This window comes from Homo sapiens, chromosome 15 (assembly GCF_000001405.40).
Source record: "Homo sapiens chromosome 15, GRCh38.p14 Primary Assembly".
NCBI lineage: Eukaryota > Metazoa > Chordata > Mammalia > Primates > Hominidae > Homo > Homo sapiens.
The window spans coordinates 81,665,968-81,689,644 of NC_000015.10; the positions used below are offsets into that span (position 1 = coordinate 81,665,968).

At 39.3% G+C, this 23,677-nt stretch overlaps 1 long non-coding RNA gene across 1 annotated transcript, besides 1 other annotated feature; it reads left to right on the top strand.

Moving 5' to 3' along the window:
* The first annotated feature begins 933 nt into the window (after positions 1–933).
* Positions 934–23,336, top strand: LOC105370921 (uncharacterized). The gene is made up of 3 exons (XR_932526.3): positions 934–1,214; positions 2,201–2,315; positions 22,443–23,336. It is a non-coding gene; the product is annotated as an uncharacterized LOC105370921 (long non-coding RNA).
* Positions 8,311–8,870: an enhancer, noted in NCBI's record as "H3K27ac-H3K4me1 hESC enhancer chr15:81966619-81967178 (GRCh37/hg19 assembly coordinates)". NCBI's record gives its function as "activates a minimal SCP1, AML or CMV promoter by ChIP-STARR-seq in naive H9 embryonic stem cells {active_cell/tissue: H9 hESC(naive)}" and the evidence as "EXISTENCE:reporter gene assay evidence [ECO:0000049][PMID:30033119]".
* Positions 23,337–23,677: the final 341 nt, after the last annotated feature.

A 23,677-nucleotide genomic window follows, 5' to 3' on the forward strand; every position in this document is an offset into this window, starting at 1 on the left:
CAAAAACCAAAGGATAATATGTGATCGAGACTATCTATGGCCCACAAAACCTAAAATACTTACTACTTGGCCATTTACAGAACAAAAGTACTGATCCCTGCTTTAAACCACTAACCTACACAGACTTTCAAATAAGTGCTGGGCTAACTTCTGATAACCTTCTGTCTGAAGCACATCCTCAGAGACACGTTTGATTCTGATAGGAGTGACAGGAGGTGATGGACATTTTTGCATTAAAATCCTAGTAAGTGATAAATGTGTGCATAGATCATTCTTTTGACTCTACACTTTATCTATGTCTTTGAGTTTTAGGTTCAAAGAACTGTTTTTATTTGCTTGTCACTATTATGAATGCTTGGACCTGTTTGATTTTCAGGTAGCATCTCCACTCCTAGAAATATCTCAAGGTTTTGTTCTAAATAAAAGTGCAGAGTAGAGGTGGTTTAATAATCATCACTTCTTGTCACATAAAGGCTGTGACTCCAGAGTTTGTTGCAGAAGAAGTGTTGTGAAAGAAATAATTAATATGATGGGTTTCGAATGCTGTGCTCCTTGAGAAGGTCGCTCACTCTCTGAGCTGGTCTATTCATCTGAGTAATGGGTCGCTGAGGGGCAAGGCCAAGGAGAAGGAAAGGAACTCCTCTGCATGTCACTCTCTGACTCCTTAGTCCTTCCTCTCCTTTTTTTCTGAAATGAGGTCCATTTCCAAAGCTCTGCAACCTGGGGCCTGTGGAAACTTAAGATCACTTGTGAGTTCCTAGATACTACATGCAGAATTTGGCATCTATGAGCATGTAGAAGTGGATAATTTTTGACAGTCTTCAATATATTCTTGTTTATATAATATTCTTAAGTATATTCCTAAAAATAATTAAGAACCATAAGCTGTGCTAGGGAAGTGGGCTCATGGCCTTATGTTAGTCTACTTGAATAAAAAGACAGTCAATGAGGTCAGTTTTCAGGTTTGGGTATTTTGATTACCTTTCCCCTTAGTTGTTTTAAATGAGCAAAGGAGTAATGGGGTTTTCCACCACATAACAGAATATCTATGAGTCATCAGTGTCCTGAGAAGCTAAACGTCCTACTAAGGATCCTGCAAAGGGAAAACAGAAGAGGAACTTGCACTTTTTGAGAACTTGCTGTGTGCCATAAGCCTAAGTCCCTATGTGGGAAGGATTCTACCCACACATGACAGAGGAGGAGACTGAAGCATGGTATGTTTAAATAAATTCTTCTGTATTGGAATGCTGATCTTTCTGCCTCCAAACCCACAACTTAAAAAAAAAAAAAAAAAAAAAAAAGGTCAGGTGCAGTGGCTCATGCCTGTAAACTCTGCACTTTGGGAGGTGGAGACAGATGGATCACTTGAGGTCAAGAGTTCAAGAACAGCCTGGGCAACATGGTGAAACGCCCATCTCTACCAAAAAATACAAAAAAAATTAGCCAGGCATGAGAGAATCGTGAGAACCCGGGAGGCAGAGGTTTCAGTGAGCCAAGATTGTGCCACTGTGCTTCAACCTGGGCAACAGAATGAGAGACCCTGTCTCGAAATAAAATAAATAAATAAAATAAAAAATAAAGTATTTAATTTTCTCAGATTATACATTTATTGTAAAATAAACAGAAATCACTCTACTATCATCATAGCGTTTCCTTCCTTTCTCTAAATATATTGCCACAGCATGTATCCTTCCAGTATATACATATATACACATATATACACACACACAGTATGTATACATATATACATTTCCAAAGTTGTGATTATAATATATGTGCCATTTTCTATTCTCCTTTATTTCGCTTAATATAACATGAATATTTAACACTTATGAACATCTTTTACTGATTGATTATGTTATATTCTGAACAAAAATCTAGCATCATGTACTAACCCATTCAATTACCATTGCAGATGAAAGTTGTTTGCCTAATTTTAATAAGGCTTATTATTTTAACAACCCTTATTATGTTTAAGCATAAAGGTGGTAGGATTCTTTTTACATGCTAGAGTCCTAGAAATAGACATAGGGAATGGACCTTTGTAAGGATTTTTTTTATATTTGTTAAAATAGTGCAGAAAAGTTAAGTTCATCTACCCTCTCATTCATAGGAGTTGGCCTGTTTCATCTGTTTCATGCATGTTTGTTAGTATTGCAGACCAGCAAATTTGTAAATTTCGTTAATTTGATTTTCTTAGAAAAAGAAATGGCGTTTTGCTGGAGAAAGCAGCATAGCGGAATGTAAAGCGGTAAAGCGTGTATGCTCTGGAGCCACAGACCTAGATGGTGAAGTCTAGCTCTGGTACTTGACAGGTATGTGGTCTTTAGACAAATCATTTAACCTTTCTCCAGGCCTCAGTTTCCTCACCTTTGGAATTGAAAATATGACGCCTGCTTAAGAGGGGTATTTTGAAAATTTCAGCTAACATATGTAAGAGGGTATTCAGTAAGAATAGATAATGCAATTTCAGTTGACTTTTTTTTTTTTATTATACTTTAAGTTTTAGGGTACATGTGCACATTGTGCAGGTTAGTTACATATGTGTACATGTGCACATTGTGCAGGTTAGTTACATATGTATACATGTGCCATGCTGGTGTGCTGCACCCACTAACTCGTCATCTACCATTAGGTATATCTCCCAATGCTATCCCTCCCCCCTCCCCCACCCCACCACAGTCCCCAGAGTGTGATATTCCCCCTCCTGTGACCATGTGATCTCATTGTTCAGTTCCCACCTATGAGTGAGAATATGCAGTGTTTGGTTTTTTGTTCTTGCGATAGTTTACTGAGAATGATGATTTCCAATTTCATTCATGTCCCTACAGAGGACATGAACGCATCATTTTTTATGGCTGCATAGTATTCCATGGTGTATATGTGCCACATTTTCTTAATCCAGTCTGTCATTGTTGGACATTTGGGTTGGTTCCAAGTCTTTGCTATTGTGAATAATGCCGCAATAAACATACGTGTGCATGTGTCTTTATAGCAGCATGATTTATAGTCCTTTGGGTATATACCCAGTAATGGGATGGCTGGGTCAAATGGTATTTCTAGTTCTAGATCCCTGAGGAATCGCCACACTGACTTCCACAATGGTTGAACTAGTTTACAGTCCCACCAACAGTGTAAAAGCGTTCCTATTTCTCCACATCCTCTCCAGCACCTGTTGTTTCCTGACTTTTTAATGATTGCCATTCTAACTGGTGTGAGATGGTATCTCATTGTGGTTTTGATTTGCATTTCTCTGATGGCCAGTGATGATGAGCATTTTTTCATGTGTTTTTTGGCTGCATAAATATCTTCTTTTGAGAAGTGTCTGTTCATGTCCTTCGCCCACTTTTTGATGGGGTTGTTTGTTTTTTTCTTGTAAATTTGTTTGAGTTCATTGTAGATTCTGGATATTAGCCCTTTGTCAGATGAGTAGGTTGTGAAAATTTTCTCCCATTCTGTAGGTTGCCTGTTCACTCTGATGATAGTTTCTTTTGCTGTGCAGAAGCTCTTTAGTTTAATTAGATCCCATTTGTCAATTTTGTCTTTTGTTGCCATTGCTTTTGGTGTTTTGGACATGAAGTCCTTGCCCATGCCTATGTCCTGAATGGTACTGCCTAGGTTTTCTTCTAGGGTTTTTATGGTTTTAGGTCTAACGTTTAAGTCTTTAATCCATCTTGAATTGATTTTTGTATAAGGTGTAAGGAAGGGATCCAGTTTCAGCTTTCTACATATGGCTAGCCAGTTTTCCCAGCACCATTTATTAAATAGGGAATCCTTTCCCCATTGCTTATTTTTCTCAGGTTTTTCAAAGATCAGATAGTTGTACATATGCGGCGTTATTTCTGAGGGCTCTGTTCTGTTCCATTGATCTATATCTCTGTTTTGGTACCACTACCATGCTGTTTTGGTTACTGTAGCCTTGTAGTATAGTTTGAAGTCAGGTAGTGTGATGCCTCCAGCTTTGTTCTTTTGGCTTAGGATTGACTTGGCGATGCGGGCTCTTTTTTGGTTCCATATGAACTTTAAAGTAGTTTTTTCCAATTCTGTGAAGAAAGTCATTGGTAGCTTGATGGGGATGGCATTGAATCTGTAAATTACCTTGGGCAGTATGGCCATTTTCACGATATTGATTCTTCCTACCCATGAGCATGGAATGTTCTTCCATTTGTTTGTATCCTCTTTTATTTCCTTGAGCAGTGGTTTGTAGTTCTCCTTGAAGAGGTCCTTCCCATCCCTTGTAAGTTGGATTCCTAGGTATTTTATTCTCTTTGAAGCAATTGTGAATGGGAGTTCACTCATGATTTGGTTCTCTGTTTGTCTGTTGTTGGTGTATAAGAATGCTTGTGATTTTTGCACATTGATTTTGTATCCTGAGACTTTGCTGAAGTTGCTTATCAGCTTAAGGAGATTTTGGGCTGAGACAATGGGGTTTTCTAGATATACATCATGTTGTCTGCAAACAGGGACAATTTGACTTCCTCTTTTCCTAATTGAATACCCTTTATTTCCTTCTCCTGCCTGATTGCCCTGGCCAGAACTTCCAACACTATGTTGAATAGGAGTGGTGAGAGAGGGCATCCCTGTCTTGTGCCAGTTTTCAAAGGGAATGCTTCCAGTTTTTGCCCATTCAGTATGATATTGGCTGTGAGTTTGTCATAGATAGCTCTTATTATTTTGAAATACGTCCCATCAATACCTAATTTATTGAGAGTTTTTAGCATGAAGGGTTGTTGAATTTTGTCAAAGGCTTTTTCTGCATCTATTGAGATAATCATGTGGTTTTTGTCTTTGGCTCTGTTTATATGCTGGATTACATTTATTGATTTGCATATATTGAACCAGCCTTGCATCCCAGGGATGAAGCCCACTTGATCATGGTGGATAAGCTTTTTGATGTGCTGCTGGATTCGGTTTGCCCGTATTTTATTGAGGATTTTTGCATCAATGTTCATCAAGGATATTGGTCTAAAATTCTCTTTTTTTCTTGTGTCCCTGCCTGGCTTTGGTATCAGAATGATGCTGGCCTCATAAAATGAGTTAGGGAGGATTCCCTCTTTTTCTATTGATTGGCATAGTTTCAGAAGGAATGGTACCAGTTCCTCCTTGTACCTCTGGTAGAATTCGGCTGTGAATCCATCTGGTCCTGGACTCTTTTTGGTTGGTAAGCTATTGATTATTGCCACAATTTCAGCTCCTGTTATTGGTCTCTTCAGAGATTCAACTTCTTCCTGGTTTAGTCTTGGGAGGGTGTATGTGTCCAGGAATTTATCAATTTCTTCTAGATTTTCGAGTTTATTTGCGTAGAGGTGTTTGTAGTATTCTCTGATGGTAGTTTGCATTTCTGTGGGTTCGGTGGTGATATCCCCTTTATCCTTTTTTATTGTGTCTATTTGATTCTTCTCTCTTTTTTTCTTTATTAGTCTTGCTAGCGGTCTATCAATTTTGTTGATCCTTTCAAAAAACCAGCTCCTGGATTCATTGATTTTTTGAAGGGTTTTTTGTGTCTCTATTTCCTTCAGTTCTGCTCTGATTTTAGTTATTTCTTGCCTTCTGCTAGCTTTTGAATGTGTTTGCTCTTGCTTTTCTAGTTCTTTTAATTGTGATGTTAGGGTGTCAATTTTGGATCTTTCCTGCTTTCTCTTGTGGGCATTTAGTGCTATAAATTTCCCTCTACACACTGCTTTGAATGCATCCCAGAGATTCTGGTATGTTGTGTCTTTGTTCTCGTTGGTTTCAAAGAACATCTTTATTTCTGCCTTCATTTCGTTATGTACCCCGTAGTCATTCAGGAGCAGGTTGTTCAGTTTTCATGTAGTTGAGCGGTTTTGAGTGAGATTCTTAATTCTGAGTTCTAGTTTGATTGCACTGTGGTCTGAGAGATTGTTATAATTTCTGTTCTTTTACATCTGCTGAGGAGAGCTTTACTTCCCAGTATGTGGTCAATTTTGGAATAGGTGTGGTGTGGTGCTGAAAAAAAATGTATATTCTGTTGATTTGGGGTGGAGAGTTCTGTAGATGTCTATTAGGTCCGCTTGGTGCAGAGCTGAGTTCAAGTCCTGGGTATCCTTGTTGACTTTCTGTCTCATTGATCTGTCTAATGTTGACAGTGGGGTGTTAAAGTCTCCCATTATTAATGTGTGGGAGTCTAAGTCTCTTTGCAGGTCACTCAGGACTTGCTTTATGAATCTGGGTGCTCCTGTATTGGGTGCATATATATTTAGGATAGTTAGCTCTTCTTGTTGAATTGATCCCTTTACCATTATGTAATGGCCTTCTTTGTCTCTTTTGATCTTTGTTGGTTTAAAGTCTGTTTTATCAGAGACTAGGATTGCAACCCCTGCCTTTTTTTGTTTTCCATTGGCTTGGTAGATCTTCCTCCATCCTTTTATTTTGAGCCTATGTGTGTCTCTGCAAGTGAGATGGGTTTCCTGAATACAGCACACTGATGGGTCTTGACTCTTTATCCAATTTGCCAGTCTGTGTCTTTTAATTGGAGCATTTAGTCCATTTACATTTAAAGTTAATATTGTTATGTGTGAATTTGATCCTGTCATTATGATGTTAGCTGGTGATTTTGCTCGTTAGTTGATGCAGTTTCTTCCTAGTCTCGATGGTCTTTACATTTTGGCATGATTTTGCAGCGGCTGGTACTGGTTGTTCCTTTCCATGTTTAGTGCTTCCTTCAGGAGCTCTTGTAAGGCAGGCCTGGTGGTGACAAAATCTCTCAGCATTTGCTTGTCTGTAAAGGATTTTATTTCTCCTTCACTTATGAAGCTTAGTTTGGCTGGATGTGAAATTCTGGGTTGACAATTCTTTTCTTTAAGAATGTTGAATATTGGCCCCCACTCTCTTCTGGCTTGTGGGGTTTCTGCCGAGAGATCCGCTGTTAGTCTGATGGGCTTCCCTTTGAGGGTAACCCGACCTTTCTCTCTGGCTGCCCTTAACATTTTTTCCTTCATTTCAACTTTGGTGAATCTGACAATTATGTGTCTTGGAGTTGCTCTTCTCGAGGAGTATCTCTGTGGCGTTCTCTGTATTTCCTGAATCTGAACGTTGGCCTGCCTTGCTAGATTGGGGAAGTTTTCCTGGATAATATCCTGCAGAGTGTTTTCCAACTTGGTTCCATTCTCCCCATCACTTTCAGGTACACCAATCAGATGTAGATTTGGTCTTTTCACATAGTCCCATATTTCTTGGAGGCTTTGCTCATTTCTTTTTATTCTTTTTTCTCTAAACTTCCCTTCTCTCTTCATTTCATTCATTTCACCTTCCATTGCTGATACCCTTTCTTCCAGTTGATTGCATCGGCTCCTGAGGCTTCTGCATTCTTCACGTAGTTCTCGAGCCTTGGTTTTCAGCTCCATCAGCTCCTTTAAGCACTTCTCTGTATTGGTTATTCTAGTTATACATTCTTCTAAATTTTTTTCAAAGTTTTCAACTTCTTTGCCTTTGCTTTGAATGTCCTCCCGTAGCTCAGAGTAATTTGATCGTCTGAAGCCTTCTTCTCTCAGCTCGTCAAAGTCATTCTCCATCCAGCTTTGTTCCGTTGCTGGTGAGGAACTGCGTTCCTTTGGAGGAGGAGAGGTGCTCTGCGTTTTAGAGTTTCCCGTTTTTCTGTTCTGTTTTTTCCCCATCTTTGTGGTTTTATCTACTTTTGGTCTTTGATGATGGTGATGTACAGATGGGTTTTTGGTGTGGATGTCCTTTCTGTTTGTTAGTTTTCCTTCTAACAGACAGGACCCTCAGCTGCAGGTCTGTTGGAATACCCTGCCGTGTGAGATGTCAGTGTGCCCCTGCTGGGGGGTGCCTCCCAGTTAGGCTGCTCAGGGGTTGGGGTCAGGGACCCACTTGAGGAGGCAGTCTGCCTGTTCTCAGATCTCCAGCTGCGTGCTGGGAGAACCACTGCTCTCTTCAAAGCTGTCAGACAGGGACATTTAAGTCTGCAGAGGTTACTGCTGTCCTCTTGTTTGTCTGTGCCCTGCCCCCAGAGGTGGAGCCTACAGAGGCAGGCAGGCCTCCTTGAGCTGTGGTGGGCTCCACCCAGTGAGCTTCCCAGCTGCTTTGTTTACCTAAGCAAGCCTGGGCAATGGCGGGTGCCCCTCCCCCAGCCTCGCTGCTGCCTTGCAGTTTGATCTCAGACTGCTGTGCTAGCAATCAGCGAGATTCCGTGGGCGTAGGACCCTCCGAGCCAGGTGTGGGATATAATCTCGTGGTGCGCCGGTTTTTAAGCCGGTCCGAAAAGCGCAATATTTGGGTGGGAGTGACCCAATTTTCCAGGTGCGTCCGTCACCCCTTTCTTTGACTCGGAAAGGGAACTCCCTGACCCCTTGCGCTTCCCAAGTGAGGCAATGCCTCGCCCTGCTTTGGCTCGCGCACGGTGTGCGCACCCACTGACCTGCGCCCACTGTCTGGCACTCCCTAGTGAGATGAACCCGGTACCTCAGATGGAAATGCAGAAATCACCCGTCTTCTGCGTCACTCACGCTGGGAGCTGTAGACCGGAGCTGTTCCTATTTGGCCATCTTGGCTCCTCTCTCTCAGTTGACTTTTTAATTTCCACCATTTGATTGTTCATTTGTGTCCACTCCATTTTGAATTATTTGTTCATATCCGTAGCCCCCCTCCTTGTCAGCAGGTTCTCCGTGTTGAATTTATCAACTTCTTATTTAAAATGTTGGGAATATTGCCTCTACAGGTCATTTCCATCACATCAGATCAGGAGGCCCATAGGTAAAGGTGCTGATCTCCCAGGTAGCTGTTCCTGGAAGATGTACAGCTACAAGGCACTGAAGCCAGAGTCAGGCTATTCCAGAGTGGCATGGGCAGCCTAGGGCAGTGAAGAGGCCATGCTAGGCATAGAGTTCAGTTGAGTCCGAGGCACACGATGAACTATTGGGGTGTAGGAAGAAAATATTAGAACCCTAATTTATATTTACTTTTTAATCTAAGAAAATAAAATAAAATAAACTAAGCTAGATAACATTTAAATACAGACCTGGCACCCTGAGTTGGCCTATGTTGGGCAGCCCTGAGTGTGAATTGTGAAGAACCCTTACAGGGGAGTTGAAATTCCACTGTGGAGAAGGGCTGAGCCAGTGCCCTTGCGTATCTGTGGGCATTCAGCATGCACTTTATGTGTGCCACTGCTAAGTAAGTTTATGGATTATAGTATCTTAAGTAGTGCATATACACACATATGCACAGATTAAAGCTAAGATTATTTATTATAAACTTAGCACCATTATATTTTGTATAGGATTATCCAAATGTATATGCATATGCATAATATTATGTAAAGGATTATATATGTCTATATAGATAAATATGCGTACATAAAGTATTAAGGATATTTAGATGTATAAAATTATGTTCAAAATTTTTGTAAAAGGCATAAGTACATATGCAATTCTGATTACAATAGGATAATAAATCTGTATAGAGTTATGTTTTTCTGTGTATATATATGATATCATGTGTTTATATAAGTACTCACAAAACATATGTGTCTATATAGATAGATGTTTTGCATATGTGATTAACGGATGTTTTCTAAGAAAATGTTTATGGATATGATTAAGTATATGTATATACAAAGGCTTGAATATGCTTGCGTTATGTGTATCCCATGTGTTTTGTAACCACAAAAAGGTTACTTGATTGCCTTGCAGCAATATATTTGAAGAGTTTTCAAAATGAAAGATGCATACACATTTTTATTTTTAAGCATATAAATATTGCACATTTGCTAACATTTTCTTTGGTAAGAAGTGACTCCCAGACCATCTCCCAGTAGATATTATAAACACAACCCCCCACACACACATACACACACACATCATTGATCCACTCCTTCAAAGTGAAAATAAAATTTTAACAGCAAATGAGAAGGTAACACTCAGATGTGCAAAATTTAAAAACCATGGAAATGAAATTTTTTAAGTAAGTTTAAATAATAAACAAAATGTTTGACTGGGCTTTGAAATCTTTTGTTAAAAATATAAAAACAAACCATCATGTGACTAGCTTGCAAGAGCAACTGATTACCATCAGGAAACGTGGAAATGTACCACCAGGAAAGCCAAATTTAATGAAATATATTGAAATATATATTGAATTTAATGAAGTATAATTGGTGAATGGTATTAAAAAGGAGTAACCTAATTTGGCAAATTTAGCCAAAATACACCATTTCCTTTGTGATCTATGAATCTCGTGAAATGGCTTTTCAGTTCTGAGAGGCATTACGAAGAGAATCAAAATAAAATCAACTTAGAGCCATGACTTTAAATAACTGTATCAAAAAAAATTAATGCATACTTTAAAAAATAATACATCTTTTCATAAAACATTACTAAAATTTAATAATGTGATGGATAATATTTAGTGAGAGTAAAATAAGTTGAACAATTTAAAAAATTTTTTAAAACTAATTTCTTTTTCATCCTTTAAAAATTTGCTATTTAATGTATAATTGACACTTATTAGTAATGTATATAATTTATAAACGTATACTTAGATATAAAATTATATGCACATACAATCCCAATGTGTACATATGTAATAGTGTGTTTAATACATATATGTGTGTGTATATATACATATATGTACATACACGTGTGTGCTGTACACTTAAATATTTGCAATGCTTGGGGGACAAGATCAAAAATATGTTTGGAAACCACTGTTTTAAGTAGAGTAAGTTCAGAAGAGTCTTTTCCCAAGTACATATTGATAACTTACTCCACACATAGCTCAGGTACATGAGCCTTTATACACCATTGTACAGTCTAGAGAAGTAATAGCAATGTACTCCTGGAGTCCCACAGCAAAGTAAAGGGAAGACCAAACTCTGTGCACTTCCTCTCACCCTTATCCAGGCCTTGATAAGTCAAGGCAGTGACTTGATTTTCAGCCTGAGTTTTTAGCAAGCTGCAGACTTTAAAAGGTTCAACGATTATTGATATGAAAATAAAAACTGAATTAAAAACAGTGTTGGGCTGGTAAATGTTTTACAGCTGCTCTCAAGACAAAAGCCCTGATTTAGCATTTACCTATTTCTGTGGTGTAAATACTTCCACCATGGTCAATTTCAAGCTACCAAGATGTTGCTGAATGCTGAGGTTGGAAGAGAGGCACGCAATCCATTGAGTGGGACCTTTCAACTGGGCCTTCAGCCATCCCTGCCAGTGTTCACCAGCCGACAGAGATTTGAATTCTCCCTGGGACAGAGAACAGGGAAGGGCAGGCCACCATCTTTGCTGTTTGGGTGACTCAGCCACTCCAGTCTGTGGGCTTTGGAGAGCCCAAGCCAACGAGGACAGAAGCAGTACCCCAGCACAGCACAGTTGCTCCATGAAAGCATGGCCAGACTGCTTCTTTAAACAAGTCCCTGATCCCGTTCCTTTTCACTGGGCAGAATCTCACAACTGGGGCCTCCAGCCACACATACCGATGTTCTCTGGCTGACAGAGATTTGAAAACTTCCTGGGACAGAGCTCCCAGAGGGAGAGGTGGGCTGCCATCTTTGCTGTTTGGGCAACTTAGCTGTTCCAGCCTCCAGGCTTTGGAGAGCACAAGACAATCAAGGGTGGAAATGGTACCCCAACCCAGCACAGCTGATCTATGAAAGCATGGCCAGAGTGCTTCTTTAAGTGGGTCTCCAATCCTGTTCCTCCTGACAGAGTGAGGCCTCCCAACTGGGGTCTCCAACCATCTCTTACAGGTGTGTTCAGGCCAGGAACAGGTCCTGAGTAGAGCTCCCAGAGGAAGGAGCAGGCTGCCATCTTTGCTGTTTTGCAGTCTTCACTGGTGATACCTCCAGCTACTAGAAAATCTGAGGCGACTAGGGACTGGAGTGGACCACCAGCAAAGCAAAAGACCCCTATAGAAAAGTGGCCAGACAATTTTTTTTTTTGAGTTGGAGTTTCACTCGTCTCCCAGGCTGGAGTGCAATGATGCAGTCTCAGCTCACTGCAACATCTGCTTCCCAAGTTCAAGTGTTTTTCCTGCCTCAGCCTCCTGAGTAGCTGGGATTACAGGCACCCGCCACCATGCCCAGTTAATTTTTGTATTCTTAGTAGAAAAGGGGTTTCACCATGTTGGTCAGGCTGGTCTTGAACTCCTCACCTCATGGGATCCACTTGCCTTGGCCTCCCAAAGTGTTGGGATTACAGGCATGAGCCACCGTGCCCAGCCCATGGCCAGACTATTAAAAAGCAAAAAATAAAAAATAAAAAAATAAAAAATATCCAAAGGTCAGAAACCTCAAAGACTGAAGGTAGATAAGCCCTCAAAAATGAGAAATAATTAGTGCAGGAATGCTGAAAACTCAAAAAGCCAAGGTGTCCTCTTTCCTGCAAATGACCACATATCTCTCCAGCAATGGTTTGGAACTGGGCTGAGGCTGAGATGGCTTAAATGACGGAAGTAGAATTCATAATACGGATAGGAGCGAACTTCACTGAGCTAAAGGAGTACATTGTAACCCAATGCAAAGAAGATAAAAATCATGATAAAACAGTGCAGGAGCTGACAGACAAAATAGTCAGTATAGAGGAAAACATAACTGACCTGATAGATCTGAAAAACACACTACAAGAACGTCATAATGCACAAGTATTAATAGCAGAATAGACCAAGTGGAGGAAGGAATCTCAGAACTTGAAGACTGGCTTTCTGAAATAAAACAGACACACAAGAATGGAGAAAAGGAATGAAAAGAAATGAACAGAACCTCTGAGAAATATGGAATTATGTAAAGAGACAAAATCTATGACTGGTTGGTGTATCTGAAAGAGATGGGAGGAATGGAACCAACCTGGAAAACACATTTCAGGATATCACCCATGAGAACTTCCCCAACCTAGCTATACAGGCCAACATTCAAATTCAGGAAATGCAGAGAATCTTAGTAAGATACTCCATGAGAAAATCATCCCCAAGACACATAATCATCAGATTCTTCAAGGTCAAAATGAAGAAGAAAAGGTTAAGGGCAGCTAGGGAGGAAGGCCAGGTCACCTACAAAGGGAAGCCCATCAGACTAACAGCAGACCTCTCAGTAGAAACTCTACAAGCCAGAAGAGATTGGGGGCCAATATTCGATATTCTAAAGAAAAGAAATTCCAAACCAGAATTTTATATTGGGCCAAACTAAGCTTCATAAGCAAAGGAGAAATAAAATCCTTTTCAGACAAGCAAATCCTAAGGGAATTCATTACCACCAGACCTGCCTTACAAGAGCTTCTGAAGGAAGCACTAAATATGGAAAGGAAAGACCATTACCAGCCACTACAAAAACACACTGAAGTACACAGTCCAGTGACACTATAAAGCAACCACAAAAACAAGTCTGCAAAATAACCAGCTAACATCATGATGACAGGGTCAATTCCACACATATCAATACTAACTTTAAATGTAAATGGGCTAAATGTCCCAATTAAAACACAAAGAGTGGCAAGCTGGATAAAGAGCTAAGACCCATTGGTATGCTGTCTTCCAGACACTCATCTCACATGTAATGACACATATAGGCTCAAAATAAAAGGATGGAGAAAAATCTACCAAGCAAATGGAGAAACAGAAAAAAGCAGGGGTTGCAATCCTAGTTTCTAACAAAGCAGACTTTAAGCCAACAAAGATTTAAAAAGACAAAGAGGACATTACATAATGGTAAAGGATTCAATTCAACAAGAAGATCTAACTTTCCTAAATGAACTTGCTTTATGAATCTGGGTGCTCCTGTGTTGGGTGCATATGCACCCAGATTTATAAAGCAAGTTCTTAGAGACCCTCAAAGACACATAGACTCCCACAATATAATAATGGGAGATTTTAACAACAAACTGACATTAGACAGATCATCAAGACAGAAACTTAATAAAGATATTCAGGCCCTGAACTCAGCACTGGATCAAACGGAACCTGGTAGATATCTACAGAACTCCTCACCAAAAATCAACAGACTATATGTTCTTCTGATTGCCACATGACAATCTAAAACTGATCACATAATCAGAAGTAAAACCCTCCTCAGCATATGTAAAAGAACTAAAATCATAACAAACAGTCTCTCAGACCGCAGCACAATAAAATTAGAACTCAAGACTAAGAAATTCACTTTTGCATGACTTTGGGGTAAATAATGAATTGAAGGCAGAAATCAAGAAGTTCTTTGAAACTGATGAGAACAAAGATACAGCATACCAGAATCTCTGGGACACAGCTAAGGCAGTGTTAAGAGGGAAATTTATAGCACTGAATGTCCACATCAAAAAGTTTGAAGGATCTCAAGTTAACAACCTAACATCACAATTAAAAGAACTAGAGAACCAAGAGCAAACCAATCACAAAGCTAGCAGAAGACAAGAAATAACCAAAATCGGAGGAGAACTAAAGGAGATAGAAACATAAAAAACCATTCAAAAGAACAATGAGTCCAGGAGCTGGCTTTTTGAAAAACATTAATAAAATAGACCACTAGCTAAACTAATAAAGAAGAAAAGAGAGAACATTCAAATAAACACGATCAGAAATGATAAGGGGATATTACCACTGACCCCACAGAAATACAAACAACCATCAGATAATATTATGAACACATCTATGCACATAGACTAGAAAATCTAGAAGAAATAGATAAATTCCTGGACACATACACCATCCCAAGACTGAACCAGGAATAAACTGAATCCCTGAACAGATCAATAATGAGTTCTGAAATTGAGGCAGTAATAAATAGCTTACCAACCCTAAAAAGCCCAAGACCAGATGGATTCACAGATGAATTCCACCAGAGGTACAAAAAAGAGCTGGTACCATTCCTACTGAAACTATTTCAAAAAACTGAGGAGGAGGGACTCCTCCCTAACTCATTCTATGAAGTCAGCATCATCCTGACACCAAAACCTAGCAGATACAACAAAAAAAGAAAACTTCAGGCCAATATCTTGGATGAATATCAAAGCAAAAAATTCTCAACAAAATACTGGCAAACTGAATCCATCAGCACATCAAAAAGCTTATCCACCATGATCAAGTAGGCCTCATCCCCAGGATGCAAGGTTAGTTAACATATGCAAATCAATAATGTGAGTCATCACATAGACAGAACTAAAGACAAAAAAAAAAAACCACATCATTATCTCAATAGATGCAGAAAAGGCTTCCAATAAAATTCAATATCCCTTCATGTTAAAAACTCTCAATAAACTACTATTGAGGGAACATACCTCAAAATAATAAGAACCATATATGATAAAATCACTGTCAACGTCACACTGAATGGGCAAAAGCTGGAAGCATTCCCCTTGAAAACTGGCAAAGACAGGGATGCTGTTTCTCACTAGTCCTATTCAACATAGTATTGAAAGTTCTGGCCAGGGCAATCAGGCAAGAGAAAGAAATAAACGGCATTCACATAGGAAGAGAGGAAGTCAAACTATCCCTGTTTGCAGGTGACATGATCTTGTATCTAGAAAACCCCATTGTCTCAGCCCAAATGCTTCTTAAGCTGATCAACAAGTTCAGAAAAGTCTCAGGATACAAAATCAATGTGCAAAAATTACTAGCACTCCTATAAACCAGCAACAGTCAAGCCAAGAGCCAAATCAGAAACAAACTCTCATTCACAATTGCCATAAAAGGCATAAAATACTAGGAATACAGTTAACTAGGAAAGTGAATGTTCTCTACAAGGAGAGCTACAAACCACTGTTCAAATATATCAGAGATGACACAAGCAAATGGAAAAACATTCCATGCTGATAGGAAGAATCAATATTGTGAAAATGGCCGTACTGCCCAAAGAAATTTATAGATTCATTGCTATGCCCATTAAACTACCATTGACACTCTTCACAGAACTAGGAAAAAAAACTATTTTAAGATCCACATGGAACCAAAAAATAGCACAGAATAGCCAAGGCAATCCTAAGAAAAAAGAACAAAGCTAGAGGTAGCATGCTACCTGACTCCAAACTATACTACAAGGCTACAGTAACCAAAACAGCATGGTACTGGCACAAAAACAGACACACAGACTAATGAAACAGAATAGAAAACCCAGAAATAAACACCACTTACAACTACCAAATCTTCAACAAATCTGACAAAAACAAGCAATGGAGAAATGATTCCCTATTCAATAAATGCTGTTGGAATAACTGGCTAGCCATAAGAAGAAAATTGAAACTGGACCCCTTCCTTACACTATTTACAAAAATTAACTCAAGATAGATTAAAGACTTAAATGTAGAACCCAAAACTATAAAACCCCTGGAAGGCAACCTAGGCAATACCATCTAGGACATAGGCACAGGCAAAGATTTCATGACAAAGATGCCAAAAGCAATTGCAAGAAAAGCAAAAATTGACAAATGGGATCTAATTAAACTAAAAAGCTTCTGCACAGGAAAAGAAACTATCAACAGAGTAAAGAGACAACCTACAAAATGAGAGAAAACTTTTGCAAACTATGCATCCAACAAAGGTCTAATATCCAGCATCTATAAGGAACTTGAACAAATGTACAAGAAAAAAACAAACAACCCCACTAAAAAGTGGGCAAAAACACGAACAGACACTTCTTAGAAGACATACATGTGGCCAACAATCATTATGAAAAAAAATTAAAACATTGCTGATCATTAGAGAAATGCAAATCAAAGCCACAATGAGATACCATCTCACACCAGTCAGAATCGCTATTATTAAAAAGTCAAAAAATAACAGATGCTGGCAAGGTTATGGAGAAAAAAGAACCCTTATACACTGTTGGTGGGAGTATAAATTAGTTCAACCATTGTGGAAGACAGTGTGGCAAATCCTCAAAGATCTGAAGACAGAAATGCCATTACTGGGTATATGCCCAAAGGACTAGGAATCATTCTATTATGAAAACACATGCATGGGTATGTTTGTTGCAGCACTATTCACAATAGCAAAGCCATGGGATCAACCTAAATGTCCATCAATGATAGATTGGACAAACACTATGGAATACTATGTAGCCATTAAAAAAATAAGATCCTGGCCTTCGAAGGGACGTGGATGGAGCTGGAGGCCATTATCCTTAGCAAACTAACACAGGAACAGAAAACCAAATACCACATGTTCTGACTTATAAGTGGGAGCTAAACGATGAGAACACATGGACACACAGAGGGGAACAACACACACTGCAGCCTATCAGAAGGTGGAGGCTGGGAGGAGGGAGAGGATCAGGAAAACTAACTAATGAGTACTAGGCTTAATACCTGGGTGATAAAATAATCTACACAACAAACCCCCATGACACAAGTTTACCTAGGTAACAAACCTGCACATGTACCCCTGAAGTTAAAATAAATTTTTGTAATAAGAAAAAATGTGATGCACAGAGTCAGCTCTTGTAAGACAGGATGAGCTAGTTGCAGCATGCAACACTGACAAAAAAAATCATGGAAATCCAATTTTGAGATAAAGGGCATCACATTGGTGACAGAATCTCTCTCTCTCTCTCTCTCTCTCTCTCTCTCTCTCTCTCTCTCTCTCTCTCTCTCTCTCCCCCCCCCCCCACACACACACACACACTCCCAACCCATGTCACTGCATCAAATAATAGAGGGAAATATGGATTTGGAGTCAGAAAACTTAAGAATGTGTCCCAAGTCAATCACTTATTCGTTTTAAGATCTTGTGCCATTCCTTGCACCATATAGGCCTCAGTTTTTTCATCTGTAAAATAAGTCTACTACTGGTGATCCCAACTATCTTCCAGAATTGTCGTGAGAATCAAATGCAATCATATGTGCATGTGCTGCACATATTTAAGGATAAATTTCTTATACTTTCCCTATCCATCAGGCAAACATTGCTCAAAGTTGGACTCTGTAGCATTGTCAGGTGAATATTCAATTGTATGAATTCTGAATAGAAAACTATAAAAGATGAACCATCATCTAGCAAAAGAATGTTGTGCCTAGTGCCTCCTGCAATTACAGCTTCTAGCACACTTTATTTTTCCTGATTTCTCTAATAATAGGTAGTTCTTCTATAATTAACTTCCTACCGTTTTTGAATGAGTGGAAAAACTATTTGCTGAAGGCAAAGTCTTGATAACATTCACACAAATATGTGTGCTTCTTTGACATATGCTCTTCTTAAAATCAGCTGCTATCTTTGTATACATCCCATACACCAAACCCTTGCAGGAATATTCTAAAGAGTCACCTAATCACTCTCTGTCGATTACCTTGTAGAACGTGTATTATTAATGGCAGCAATTGCTTTCTGACCTCCTTGCCATGATCCATTTTCATCCATTAAGGCATTACATTATCCACTTAGCAAACCATGCATCATAAATGAAATATTGATTTAAAAAATTATAAACTGCTTTACATTTAAGAAACAGTTCTATAAAATGAAACTTCAAAACTAAAATAAAAATGCATACAATTTAAAAGGCACAGTGCAGTTCAAAGACTTATGTAGTGATCAAATAAATATGGTCATGTTTAGTTTCCTTTTATGAGAACTTTATTTTCAAGATTTTAAAATTGTGTGTTCCTTGGAATTATCCCCATTTTATTGCATACATTTAGATAAACTTAGATCTTTTACTAAAACAAAAGTATGTTTTAAAAACCACAAACCCTCTTTCTCAATGGGAAATTTAGGTCTCAGTTTCAGAAATGGAAATGAAGACCATTCAGGAGGGGGGATGCTAGGGTAATTTACTACTATCAAATATGATGTAGGGTCTTTCAATAATATTCATTTTCTTTACAGCATAATAAGGGAAATTTGATGTTCTGTGACAAATGATACTTCACAAGATTCATAGATCCAAAAGTAGTGTGTTTTTACTAAACTTACCAAACTAAGTTACTCTTTTTCAATACCATTCATCAATTAAACACGCATTTGGTTAAACTTGGCTAGTATATTTTCACTTTTCTGATGGTAGTCAGTTACTCTTGTAAACTAGTCACACAAGTGAAAAGTGAGGTATTAGACACAGAAGTATAAACTTGTCTCTCTAAATGGAATAATGTGAGAAAAGTAGTTAAATCCATCGTGATAAATAATATCTTTTGGACAAGACTTCACCTCTATCATCTGGGAAGGATTATGGTTTAAGCAAAGGAGAGCTAGCTCCGTCTTTAAAATCGTAAAATCCAGTGCTGAAACGCTGAATTTCTGAAATGCAGGGATGCTAATTAAAAGGGTAGGGTGGTGAACTCTGCTATTTTCTTGCCTCACTTTTAAAGCACAGAGATCCTCGACTACCTGAAAGAAATATGATTATCTCAAGGTGAAACATTCTTATGGGAAAACAGATCTATCTATATCTACATCTATGTCTTAACCTATATTATATTCCACCATTCACAAAAGAAGTACATCTGATACCATCTGAGCTCATTCATATGCTGAGACAGCCAATGAATGAATCATGAGGATGGATGTCCATGCCCTTATTACTGAAGTCTCAGTAAATGTGAAGTAAATGAATATGTTGACTCATATGCTACAGACCAGTGAGGACCTCTGTGTTCTGGTACATCACTGACATTTGTTTTCTAAGCATCTCACTTCCCATATAAGAGAGAAACTCAAGGTTTGAATATCAGTATGGCATGGGCAAGGCCCTAGGTCAGCTTTGCAAGGAACACCAATCAGGAAAAAAAGATTATATTAGCTACGTTTTAAGGTGTTCTCTGACTTAAAAATTCTGACAGTTCTCACCTCTTCTTGGTCAAGTATATCCCATCATAAAACGTTTCTGTGGCTAAGAGACAATGAAGATGACATGAAGTTAATAGTAGAGTAAAGGTAAAATGATGGAAAGAAAGAGGAGAGAGAGACAGCAAAAAAGAGAAGGAGATAAACATAGAAAAGAGAGGGAAAAAAATGAATACCACTACGCACCTATTAGAATGGCCAAAATCTAGAGCACTGACAACACCAAATGTTAATGAGGATGTGAAGCAACAGAAATGCTATTTATTGCTAGTGGGAATGTGAAATGGTACCCCCACTTTGGAAGACAGCTTGACAGTCTTACAAATCTAAACATACTCTTACCATATGACCAAGCAATAACTGAGCTCTTTGGCATTCACCCAAAGGAGTTGAAAACTTATGTCCATTCAAACACCTGCGCATGAGTGTTTATGACAGCTTTATTCAAGAATTGTCAAAACTTGGAAGCAACAAAGATGTTCAGCCTTCCATAGGTGAATGGATACATAAACTGTGGTATATCCAGGCAATGGAATATTATTAAGCACTAAAAAGAAATGAGCAATCAAACCATGAAAAGACATGGAGGAAACTTAAATGCATGTTATTAAGTAAGAAGAGACAATCCGAAAAGACAACATACTGTATGATTCCACTCATGTGACATTCTAGAAAAGACAAAACCGCGGAAAAGGCAAAAGAGTGGTTGCCAGAGGTTAATTGGTGGGGGATAAATAGGAGAAGCAGAAGGGATTTTTTAGGGTAGTGAAAATACGCTGCATAATATTATAATGGTGAATATATGTCATTATACATTTATCCCAACACATAGAAAGCACAGCACCAAGAGTTGAACCCTAATGTAAATTACGGACTTTGGGTAGTTAGGATGTCAATGTAGGTTCATCAGTTGCAACAAATGAACCACTTTGGTGGAGGGTTGCTTTTCTTTTATTTTTATATATAATTTTTGTGGGTACATAATAGGTTTATATATTTATGGGGTATATGGGATATTTTTATACAGGTATACAATGTGTAGTAATCGCATCAGGGTAAATGGGTTATCCTTACCTCAAGAACTTATCCTTTGTGCTACAAACAATCTAATTATACTCTTTTAGTTATTTTTAAATGTACAGTTAAATTATTATTGACTATAGTCATCGTGTCATGCTATCAAATACTCGATCTTATTCATGGGGGAGGCTGTGTGTATGTGGGAGCAGGGATTTATGGGAACCCTCTGTACTACCTTCTTCTCAACTTTGCTGTGAACTTTAAACTGCTCTAAAAAATAAAATCTTTAAAAAATAAATAAATGTTCTAAACAAAGAAAGGAGAAGTGGTATAGAGGAAATTTTAAAAAGAAAAGGAAGAAGGAAGCACAGGAGGAAACAAGAAGAAGAGAGAGATGGCTTGAGGGGATGAGCACAGAAAGCTGAAGGAAAGGATATGAGTAGCCATCCTCATGCTTGGAATGGATAGAGGTGTGGAGAAATACTTGTGGATTAGAAATTCAGTGGATGGAGAGCAGGCTTCAGCTAATCCATGTGGAAGGGGTTGTAAAATAGAGCCTCCAGTATGTACCCTGCCACCCTTGCCCCACAGAATCCTCACTCTGCAAGAGGACCAAGGGCTGGGTTCAGGATTGAAATTGTCCTGATGGCAGAGAAGAATGCAGCCATAATCACTGCAATACAGCATCTCTGAATTTGAGTAGCCCCTTTGTGATGGACTGAATGTTTGTGTCTCCCTCAAATTCATATGTTGAAATCCTAATCCCCAATGTGATGGTATTAGGAGATGGGATCCTTGTGAGATCATTAGTTCATGAATGTGGAGCCCTCATAAATGGGATTAGTGCCCTTATAAAATAGACCCCAGAGAGCTCTCTCACTCCTCCCACATGAGGATACAACCAGGAGGCAGCCATCTGCAACCCAGAAGCTGACTCTCACCAGAACTCAATCATACCAACACCTTGATCTTGGATTTCCACCCTCCAGAACTGTGAAAAATAAATTTCTGTTGTTCATAGGCCATCCTATAGGCCTACCTATAAGTCTGTGGTACTTTTTTATGGCAGCCTGAATTGAGTCAACCCTTCTAGCCCATGGCCTGACCTTGCTCTATCTAACCAGGAATGGACTCCAGGCATTACTGGCCTTGGTGTGCACATGGCCCATGCTCCAAATAGCCAAGTAATGCTTCAGCCTCATTGAAAAGTGCAAGAGGAAACAATCAGAAGCAGGTTATAATCTTACAAGAAGCCAGGGGAATCTTTGACCATTAAATCAACTTGTGAAGTCAAGACTTCAGCCTTCTACCACAGCATATTGGCCACAGCCTGCTCCCTAGGAGCTGTCTTCACCTTACAGGTTTCCAGATCTTTGATGAGCTCCAATTCAAATGTAGAAGTCTGGGTCTTAAATTGCCAATTATCACTCTTTCTTCTCATCCAGTTTCTCTTTGTCTCCAAAATGATGCTAAGTTCCCCTCTCATCCTATGTCTTCCAACTCTGAAGAATTTCCTAACTGATCAATCCCCGTAATCGACTCCAAATCCAACCCATGTACACAGATTTGTTGTGTATGTGGGCCTTCAAATGAAAGGGTCTGAGGGTAGGGATAGGCACACACAATGTCCACAGCCACACTGAGTGTTATCTAGAGAATATATGCTGGATATCTTCTATTTTCCCCTCCAGATCCCATTCTCCATCATCTCCACCCTGCTCTGTGACCCAGTCGGCTGCTCTGCTTGAACGACATCAACAAGCTTCCTGCATCCTCATGTCTAGCTGAACTCAACCAGTGGGAAGTACCAGCAGGAGATCAAAAGAAAGGAGCAAAGTACAGTCAAGATGTTTATTTATTTCTCTGTTCTTTTCTGCCAAAGGTACACAAAATCAGACACTAGTTAAAGGCATTCAGGACAGATTTTATATGGTAATAACTATCGCAATGGAGTAGAGAGTCCAGTGTGAACTGAACTTCACCAAAACAAAAAGCTGGAGTCTTTTTAAAGGCTGGGGTATGCTAGGGGAAAGGCACTGACAGGAAGAAGAACAGGGCTTGGTCCATGGGCTTAGGCCATCTGAGTCTGTTAACTGGTGTTTATCAAAGTTGGGTTCCTGATCCCTGCAGAGACTAGGAGACAAGGGCCCTATCTTCAGGTGCTGGCTGGAACAAATAGTAAATTCTTTTGGCAGGCTTTCCCAGGCAGGAACCTAAGGGGACTGGAATCATAATCCTAGGGATGTGACCTTGAGCTGTTAGACTATGCTAGGGTTTACATCTCTTCGTGCAGAGGATTGGATGGAGTCCTTAAGGGTCAAGACAGTTCTCTTTTCAGTTCTCATTTCCCTAACAGGTCCACTGTGGGATGGCTGCTTCTCTTGACCCATGGTTTCAGCTCCTGACAGGTAGCCACTCCATGCAGCCCTTCTCTCATTGGGTTCTGGTGACCATCCTCTCCTCTTGCCTCTTTGGGTATAACAGTGGATAGTGATACTCTTGATAATAATACTATTCCTCATGGTTTTCCTATACTGTGACCACACTTTTGTAAAGAGTGATTTAATAAATATGCAGTAACTGTGGTTCTCAATGTTCTCCCATATCTCTTGAAGCATTTTGGCATGCTTTGGTTGACTTACAACTGCTGCACCTGCATCCTGTGCCTGCAAACATTTTCTGGAACCTTGGAAGTCTCCTTTGCCCACAACTCTAGGAGGCCAGCTGTGCTGGGAAACTAACATCCTCCACCCATGAGCAGATCTCCAACAATGGCTCTCAGGAGTTGGTGAATGAATACCCAGCTCCCTCATCCTTGGGTGGTATCATGCTAAGGCATGTGTTTTCAACAACTATGCACAGAGTTTTCCTAGGTAATAAACTCTAGTCACCCATTCTCAGTTATCTATTCTTGCCTAACAAACCA